Source organism: Homo sapiens, chromosome 8 (assembly GCF_000001405.40).
Source record: "Homo sapiens chromosome 8, GRCh38.p14 Primary Assembly".
Lineage (NCBI taxonomy): Eukaryota > Metazoa > Chordata > Mammalia > Primates > Hominidae > Homo > Homo sapiens.
The window spans coordinates 100,691,613-100,702,279 of NC_000008.11; positions in this window are offsets into that span (position 1 = coordinate 100,691,613).

Below are 10,667 nucleotides of genomic sequence, written 5' to 3' on the forward strand. Positions count from 1 at the left end.
ATGTTTAACTTCACTTAGAGAAATGCAGATTAAAATTACACTGGGCCAGGCACAGTGGCTCACACTTGTAATCCTAGCACTTGGGAGGCTGAGGTAGGTGGATTGTTTAAGCCCAGGAGTTTGAGACCAGTGTGGACAACATGGCGAGACTCCCATCTCAACAAAAAATAAAAAAAATTAGCCAGGCGTGGTGGCATACACCTGTGGTCCCAGCTACTCCAGAGGCTGAGGTGGGAGGATGGCTTGAGCCCAGGAGGTCAGGCTGCAGTGAGCTGTAATCACACTACTGCACTCCAGCCTGAGTGAGACACTGTCTCAAATAAATAAATAAGTAAAAATAAATAAATAAATAATAAAATTAGGCCGGGCACAGTGGCTCATACCTGGAATCCCAGCGCTTTGGGAGGCTGAGGCAAGAGGATCCCTTGAGCCCAGTAGTTTGAGACCACCCTCAGCAACATGGGGAAACCCTGTCTCTACAAAAAAATAAAATAAAAATTAGCCAGGCATGGTGGCACACACCTGTGGTGTCAGCTATTTGGGAGGCTGAGGTGGGAGAATTGCTTGAGCCCAGGAGACGGAGGCCGCAGTGAGCCTAGATTGCACCATTGCACTCCAGCCTGAGTGACAGAGTGGGACTCCATCTCAAAAAAAAAAAAAAAGAAAAAATTGGAGGTTGAATTGAGACTTACCAGCGTGAACTTTTATAACTCTTATATTTCCTAACTCTGAAAGGGCTTAGAAGCAATGTCAAATCAGTTGCAATGAGCACACCTAAAGCCTTATCTTGGTTTTTACTCCTTAGAGGAATGTCTGGTCCCAGAGCTGGGGTAAGGAAAGTTCAAAATAAACCTCGAACATCTTGTTAAGCCAAAGTGAGAAAGTGTTCAAAACATGATGGGAGATTGTTAAATGCACACAGGACCCAATTTGAACGGGTTCCCCCTGGCCAAGTGTGAGAAAATGTGAGCACCAAGCTAAGAATATAATGGATTATAACCCTGGTTATAAAACAGGAATTCTTTAGGTCATACTGATAATCAATCAATCAATAAGTGTGGGAGGTGCCCTTCCTTATACCAACTTATACATGTAAAGGAGTTGTGAAACTGGAAAATCACCATTCTCAACCATCCTCGTAAACGTTGGTCCAAGCAAGAATAATTAATGAATGCTAAATCTAGGGGGAAAGTTTGGTGAGGAACAGAATATTTATATAGTTTCAAAGTCTCTCTCCACAGACTGCTAATTAGTTACAAAAGGTAAAACAGTAACTCTTCAGTAGAGAAAACAGACAACATCTTGATCAAAATGATCACCAATGAGGAACAGAGGAACAAAGTGTGCCTCTGGATGTGATACACTGGAAAAAATACATTATTTGGGTTGGGAATAAGTTAGCTGAAATCTAATCTTAAGGAAATGTATAACAAACTCAAATTGAAGAACATTTGTAAAATAAGGAGCGATATAATGAAAGCTAATAAAAGGCTGAGGAACAGTTGCAGACTAAAGAAAACAAAACAAAAACAAACAACAAAATGCAAAACATGATCCTGGACTGGAGGGAAAAAAATTGAAAAAGTTGAGGTACAAGACTTATGATTTTCTCAATGTTAAATTCCTGAATGTAATAACTGATTTATAGCTATATAAGAGAATACCTTTGTTCTCAGGAAATACACAAATAAGATGATGGGGCTAGGCGCAGTGGCTCATGCCTGTAATCTCAACACTTTGGGAGGCCGAGGTGGGAGAATTGCTTGAGCCCAGGAGTTCAAGACCAGCCTGGACAATGTAGCAAGACCTCCATCTCTATCTATTTATATATATATAAAATTTTTAAAGATAATAAGAGGTAAAGGGAAATGATATATGCAACCTATTCTAAAATGGTTCAGAAAATATATATATATATATATATATATATGAAGGGAACGAAAAAAGTATATGTGGCAAAATGTTAAACATTGGTAAATTTGGGTAAAGGATATATAAAAATTCTGAATATTATTCTTGCAATTTTAAGTTTGAATTATTTCAATGAAAAGTAAAAAACAAAAGTATGCCAAGTCTTAGTAATCAGTTTCTAATTTCAGAAATGCATACCCTGAAGAAAAATGGTATCTCATGTTTGAACCATTCATTCAAGTATTTACTGAATTCATTCAACAAGTATTTACTGAATGTGCCAAGCAGTAAAGCGAGACAGAATACCCCAGTCATGCCCCTACTCTTAAGTGCTCTTACAGAGATAGGCCTGGCTCTATGTGTTTTTTCCAATTTTGCTGGAGTCACCTCATCTAGGATCCAAATATCAGGGGTGGGTATCAATGCAAATCCCTGAATCATCGTCATTGTTTTTATCATTGTAGTTGTCATTATCGTTGTAGTGTTTTTCTTCTTTAAATAGCAAAACCCCTTCCTAACACTTGAGAAAAGGTGAATTAAGAGAAACGAAGTTATATGTACCTTTGTTTAAAGTCACGAAGTAGTAGTAATAGCATCCATTTCAAGACATTTCATTTTATGAGGACAGTAATTGTTCACATTTTAAGACTTGCTCTGATTTTGCAGAGCTTTTGAAGACATTTTCCCCTTGTTTGGGAATCAATATGAAAACATTGATTGTCCTGCAATTATCAATGTTACATTGTCTCTGGAGTTTTTGGCCTTGTTTCAATGCAATAAATCAAGTTGTAGATTGCTGGTGGCCTTAGCAGAGCAATTATCACTGCAGCACATAATATCCAGCTTGCTGCCTTATTGTGATTCAGAGACCTAGTCACAAGCTTGCTTTTTGTCTAAGAGCCAACAACTAAAAACCCAAGTTTCCATCAACAGAAGGAATAAATTGTGGTATATTCATACATGGAGTACTATGCAGCCACATAGGAGCTAACTACTGCTACATATAATACGGAGTAATCTCAGACATGATGTTGAACAAAAGCAGACAAGCACAAGTCAATATGTGTGCATTTATTTATATGAAATTCAAAACAGCTACTACAAATATAGGACATAGGAAGAATGTCTACCTTTGGGGAAGGGGGCAAATATTAACTGAGTAGGGACCCAAGGGAGCCCTCTGAGGTACTGGAAATGCTCTATATTTTTATATGAGTGGTTACAGGGTATAATCATTGGTCAGGGCCAGGCTCATGCCTGTAATCCTAGCACTTTGGGAGGCCGAGGCGGGTGGATCACCTGAGGTCAGGAGTTTTGAGACCAGCCTGACCAACATGGCAAAACCCGGTCTCTACTAAAAACACAAAAAATTAGCTGGGTGTGGTGGTGGGCGCCTGTAATCCCAGCTACTCAGGAGGCTGAGGCAGGAGAATCGCTTGAACCCGGGAGGTGGAGGTTGTAGTGAGCCGAGATCCCGTCACTGTACACCAGCCTGGCGACAAGAGCGAAACTCCATCACACACACAAAAAATTAATTAAAAATAAATAAACATTGGTCAAAAATCATAAAGCTGTATCAACTGTATATAAATAATTCAATTAAAATATCATGCATAAAATCTGGGTGTAATAAAAACAAAGAATAATTTTTTTAAAACCCAAAGCAAGGCAAGGGGTGATGTTACCAAACTGCCATGTATCAGAGATGTGATTAGAAGGAAATCCTTCAAGGGGAGCTTATTTATGGTACGCTAGATGTCTTCTGGCTCCATTCACACATGATAAATAACACCACCTCTCCAAGTCCACTGGTTTGTTTCTTCAAGGAAAGAGTTGGAACAGGATCAATGTTTACACTCACATGACACAAAACATCTATGTCATCTCCATCTGAGATCAGATGAAAGCTAAGTTTAAATGACAGTAGTTGTTATTCATTAATATAATTGGTAAAGAAAATATCAAACATTCTTGTCTGCATAAATAGCAAGACAAAAGCAAAATTAAACAAGTTAATAGCACAGACCCTGAAGTCAGAGAGCCAGGAGTTCTAGATGGGGCTTTGCTACTTAAGTGGCAGTGTGTGTTGCTTATCTGAAAGAAAACATTACCAATTTGTTGGAAAGTTCTTCTTTAGCAGTAGTAATCGGTGTTTTATCCAACATATTTCTTAATAACTGTTGAGAAAAGGTTGAGACATCTTCCCAATTGGCACAGAAGTGCAATACAAGGCCAGAACATTAATTTCACGTTTTATTAAAAATTCATGGTAATTAAAAGGTTTTCGTTAAGTCTATTTATCAATTCTAAGAGAACCTAGAACAGGAATATGAACAAGCTCAGCAAAATGATCACAAGGCCACTAAAAGAATGTCTGATATTCCCCAGGCAGTCAAAGATGCTCAAAGGAAGAAAAGTATCCTGACTTAGAATTTTATACCCAGCACGGTTAAAGATCTCCTTTTTCTTCTGTTTTTTAACTTTTTTTCTTCTCTTTCAAGACAACTCGTCACTAGGATTCCTTTTCTTCTAAACAATGACTTTCTCATTCTTTTTGGCTGTCTTAAAATGTGACAACAAAAAAGCATCTTTGCACATTAGGAAGCCGAGGCAGGCGGATCACTTGAGGTCAGGAGTTCGAGATTCGCCTGAGCAACATGGTGAAACCCCATCTCTATTAAAAATACAAAAATTAGCTAGGCATGGTGACATGCGCCTGTAGTCCCAGCTACTTGGGAGGCTGGGGCAGGAGACATGCTTCAACCCGGGAGGTGGAGGCTGCAGTGAGCTGAGATCGCACCACTGCACTCCAGCCTGGGTGACAGTGAGATTCCGTAAAAAATACAAATTTAAATTAAAAAAAAGAAAAAGGAACTTTGTTTTTGCTTTATATTTCATGCTTTAATAAACATAAAAATTTGCTGTCTCCCCATCCCCCACCTCTCAGACTGAAGGTAGTCCAAGTACCTGAGATTTTATGGAGTTTTACTTTTTTATAGTTTATAGGCAGTTTATGCCAAGCCTAAAAGTGTGAACTCTAGTCTGTATGTAGGCTTGGATTTAAAGCCCAGTTCCACCTCCACTTACTATGTGACTTTGGACAAGTCGCGGTTCAGTTTGATGCTTCAGTTCCCTCATCTGTAAAATGGGAATATATTACTGAACCAATTTCATAGGGTGGTTTTAAGAATTAAATGATATAGTGCAAGTAAAGAGTTTACTTGTTAAGTAAACACATACATATACTCAATATTAGCAGTTACAAATGTTAATTCCGAGTTGGCTCTGGTAAATTTTTTAAAAATTGGTTGATTAAAAAACAGGCATATCGGCCGGGCACAGTGACTCACACCTGTAATCCTAGCGCTTTGGGAGGCCTAGGCAGGATGACTGCCTGAGCTCAGGAGTTTGAGACTACCCTAGGCAACATGGTGAAACCGTCTCTACTAAAAATACAAAAATTAGCCGGGCATGGTGGCAGGCGCCTGTAGTCCCAACCACTTGGGAGGTGAGGCAGGAAAATCATTTGAACCCAGGAGACGGAGGTTGTAGTGAGCGGATATCGCACCACTGCACTCTAACCTGGGCGACAGAGCAAGACTCCATCCCCAAAAAAATCACTACTCTATACTTCTAAGAATCTTCTAAGAATCCCTGCTTCTTTTTAGTGCACATGAGCTTGGTTCCTCAGGCAATTATTTTATAATCTTCATTGCTGGCCATAATTGCAGTGCCACCAAATTACCACTGCATCACAAATGGATTTGTAAAGAATAGTCACCCATACTTATAAATGATTTGCTTATAAAAATATCTGTTAAAGCCGGGCGCAGTGCTCACGCCTGTAATCCCAGCACTTTGGGAGGCTGAGGCAGGTAGATCACCTGAGCTCCCGACCTCAAGACCAGCCTGACCAACATAGAGAAACCCCGTCTCTACTAAAAGTACAAAATTAGCTGCATGTGGTGGCACATGCCTGTAATCCCAGCTACTCAGAAGGCTGAGGCAGGAGAATCGCATGAACCCGGGAGGTGGTGGTTGCAGTGAGCCAAGATTGTGCCATTGCACTCCAGCCTGGGCAACAAGAGTAAAACTGCATCTCAAAAAAAAAATCTGTTAAAAATATTAAGTTAAAAATTTAAAGGACTTGTTTAGCATATAATCTGGCATTTAATCCATTTTATATTATAACTTTTTATTCTTAATAGTAAAAATGTCTTCTACTGATTTAAATAGTTTGGGAAATATTAACATTTAGGGGCTGATAAAATAATTTTGAATGTCAGGCTGGCCATCTACCTGGCAATACGAAATAAGCATAATAAAAAATATTCCATGTACCACACATTTTTTTTTTACTTGGGGTGGGGTATAGAAACAAAAACCCATCACCAATCATAAATCCATCTGTTCACGTATGCCTTATCAATGATCATGTATCTTGTGGGAACTTTCTGAAAAGGACAAATGTTCCAACATGTAGAGCTTTTTCTCTGCAGAAAAAACATCAGAGCTAATCAAAAGCCCATGTTGTTTCCTTTTCTGGGGATATTGTCAGTAACAAAGTAAATAAATTGCATGTTTTTCTACCTTTTTAGATAATACAATATTTTGCAAACTTGCCATGATTGTGAGGGTCAAATAAACGAATACTATCTAAAATTTAAAAATTAGGTTATCCTGGCTGGGCGCGGTGGCTCATGCCTGTGATCACAGTACTTTGGGAGGCCGAGGCGGGTGGATCACCTGAAGTCAGGAGTTCCAGACCAGCCTGGCCAACGCGGCGAAACCCGTATCTACTAAAAATACAAAAATCAGCTGGGTGTGGTGGCACGTGCCTGCAGTCCCAGCTACTCGGGATGCTAAGGCAAGAGAATTGCTTAAATCTGGGAGGTGGAGGCTGCAGTGAGCCGAGATTGCACTACTGCACTCCAACCTGGGTGACACAGCGAGACTCCATCTCAAAAAAATAATAATAATAAAAAATAAATAAAAATTAGGTTACCCTGCAATTCTGCCATGTATCTCCCTAGCATGTGAAACTAGGTGGTAGAGAAGATACAGCAACAGGAGATGTATCAAAGTGATCTGAGTGTTACAGAAAGTGGTTAACTAAAAACCCTTAAATCTAACTTAGTAGAAGACAGGCTATATTTACTGAAGAGGGAGAGTCAGTATGAGGCCTAAAAATAGGAGACAAATAATTCATTGCCAGGCATGATGGCTGACACCTATAAGCCCAGCACTTTGGGAGGCCAAGGCAGGAGAATCGGGAGTTCGAGACCAGCCTGGGCAACAGATCAAGACCTCATTTCTACAAAAGTAATAAATTAACCAGATGTGGGAGTGTAACTGTAGTCTCAGCTACTCAGGAGGCTAGGCGGGAGGATGGCTTGAGCCCAGGAGGTTGAGGCTGCAGTAAGCTGTGATCACACCACTGCACTCCACCCTGGGTGACAGAGCAAGACTCTGTCCCTATAAAAAAAAAAAAAAAAAAAATTCATCGGTGTAGGGCCAAGTGCAGTGGCTCACACCTGTAATCCCAGTACTTCAGGAGGCCAGGAGTTTGAGACCGGCCTGGGCAACATAGCAAGACCTCCATCTCTACAAACTAAAATATTAGCTGGATGAGGTGGTGAGTGCCTGTAGTCTCAGCTACTTGGGAGACTGAGGTGGGAGGGTCTCTTGAACCCAGGAATTGCAGGCTGCAGTGAGCTACAATTGTGTCACTGCACTCCAGCCTGGGCAACAGAGACCCTGTCTCTATAATACAAAAAATTAAAAAAATTCATTCGTGTAGCACTGGCATTGTCCAAAGGTACGTCTGCCCTGACTGGTTTATTCAAAGATGTCCCCATGACTGGTTAGGTCTCCTAGCAGAGATCCATGCAGATTATCATAGCTGGACAGTGTTAGGCAGTATATTGACCAGCTCCACCCATGGTGCTTCCAACTCGGACTTAGGATTTAACTTTGCTTCCATGACAACTTGTCTAGTGCACTCATTAAACGTTAAGTATCCAGATACTCTTCAAAGTTATATACTTGCTTTCAGCCAGGCATGGTGGCTCATGCCTGTAGTCCCAATACTTTGAGAGACTGCGGCAGGCAGATCACTTGGGGTCAGGAGTTCAAGACCAGCCTGGCCAACATGGCGAAACTCTGTCTCTACTAAAAATACAAAAATTTTAGCCGGATGTAGTGTTGTGTGCCTGTAATCCCAGCAACTCAGGAGACTGGGACACAATAATTGCTTGAACTCAGGAGGCGGAGGCTGCAATGAACTGAGATCGCGCCACTGCACTCCAGCCTTGGTAACAGAGCGAGACTCTGTCTCAAAAACAAAAAACAGACCAAAAAACAAAGCCATATACTTGCTTTAAATGAATAATCTGGGATCAAGATTTTAAACCAAAATAATAAGCAATTTTCAAAGTACTCTCCATTAACATCTCTCACATAACCAAAGATAGCATACTATAAACAAGGCACATTACTTAAGCTTATTTCATCTATGCAAGTCTTAGCATACGTGTTGAAACAAAGAAAAGATTCCAGAAGTTTCCAATTAACCATTATACATCTAGTATCCATAGAAAAATGTCACCTGTTAGTTTGTGTCAAAACTGTCAAATGATGCAGTCATACACATGCTTTAAAAGATACACGGTAGCCCAAAAAATGTCAGTTGTCTTGTTCTGTTTTGCATCTCAAATTCTGCTATGAAACTAGGAGTTTCAAACAAACCACTGTGGATTATGAACTACGTTATTTACCATATACTACAGTCAGTTCTTTTTACTCATAGCAGTTATGTTCTATGAAATCACCATGGGCCGGGCGCCATGGCTCACGCCTGTAATCCCAACACTTTGGGAGGCCGAGGAGGGTGATCACCTGAGGTCAGGAGTTTGAGACCAGCCAGGCCAACATGGTGAAACTGTCTCTACTAAAAATACAAAAATTAGCCAGGTGTGGTGGTGTGCGCCTGTAATCCCAGCTACTTGGGAGACTGAGGCACGAGAATTGTTTGAACACGGGAGGCAGAGGCTGCAGTGAGCCGAGATCGTGCCACTGCACTCCAGCCCAGGCAACAAGAGCAAGACTCTGTCTCAAAAAAAAAAAAAAAAAAAAAAAAAAAAACAAAGAAATCACCATGAACACTGAATTATTAAATACAGGTTGAGTATCCCTAATCCAAAAAGCTCCAAACCCCTAAACTTTTGAGTGCTGACATGACACAAGTTGAAAATTCCACACCTGACCTCATGTGATGGGTCAGTCAAAACTTTGTTTCATGCACAAATTTACTGAAAATACCGTATAAAATTACATTCAGGCTGTAACATGTATGAAATAAATTGTTTAGACTTCAGTCCCGTCCCCAAGATCTCATTCTGTATATGTAAATATTCCAGAATCCCAAGCATTTCTGAAAAGGGATAATCAACCTGTACTGACAGGGTTAGGTTCCTGTAAGCCTGTGACATTTCCAGCAATTAATACATGACCTTGTTTTATGTGTTTGTTAAGATACCTTAATATACATTAATACTGAATTCATGTAACTCATGTCACCCATGCCTGAAAAAAAGCCTCCCTAACATCCATTTTCTCCAAAAGGCTCATCTCTTCCTTCTTGTGCTAAGGAACACCAGGTAACACTTCTGCGCTATGCTTGGGGGCCATTTTAAACAGCAAAATCCACCCACAAAAGGCACAAAAATGTCAAGAACATAGCACTCAACAGACCATGAAAGGGATACTCGTCTGGGAAGTGTGTTATCAGGTGACGCAAACTTTTTGTTGCTCTGCACACATCCATGAAAGCAGCATGCACACTGATTTGGGGGTTACAAATAAATTTTAGTGAGTAGGCAAATTTGTAAATACGGAATCTGCAAATGAGAATCAACTGTTTCCTTAATTCCTGCAAGAATCCAAATGCCTACTCCCCAAATCTGTTGGCTCTGGCCACTTAAAGTTTGCTCTATCTGAAAAAGCAGACATTTCAGGAACAGATGAATATGACTTATCTTCGAATCTCACAACAAATACTGACTTCCAATCAATCAGCTACCTAACGTATAAAGCTATGAACCCAACCTGGCACTAGATTTTGGTGTGTGAACTAGTGTGTGAACTTTATAGATTTGACTTCAAGTGTCTCAAAATAGCCGGCTCTTTTAAAACCTCAAAATTTGAACCATTTTGTATTACAATTTTGAAAAAATATGGTGTTTCTCTGCCTTAACACAATGAAGAAAATCTTTCAAAAAAAAAAATTGTAATGAAGCATCAGCCCCTGAGAGGGTATGTCTGTTGTGAGGCAAAATACAAAATGATCAGGATCCCCACTGGATGCACTGTTCTATGCTAAAGGGTAGGAGGGTGGAGTTTGTATTATCTTGAGTTTCAAAACAAGAAGCCAAAGCGAAAAGCATTCTAGGTACAGAAGCATCACTAGGCTTCATCAGCATTGAGGGCTGCCACTGTCACAAGCTAGGGTTTTGTTTAGATTTATTTAATCCCGAAGGTTAATAGAATTGTTTGTTTAGCATGGAATGAGATAACCACACGTTTAACTTAGAAAGCTAACTCTAGCAGTAGTCCACAGAGAATGATCGGTTAGAAATTAAAACCTAAAAGTGTAAACTGCCTGGGTTATCAGTTTTATGCAGATACCCTATACTCCAGGCTAGATCTTCTAAATCCATCCTCCTAAAAGAACCCCACATCTTCACCTTTAACAAGTA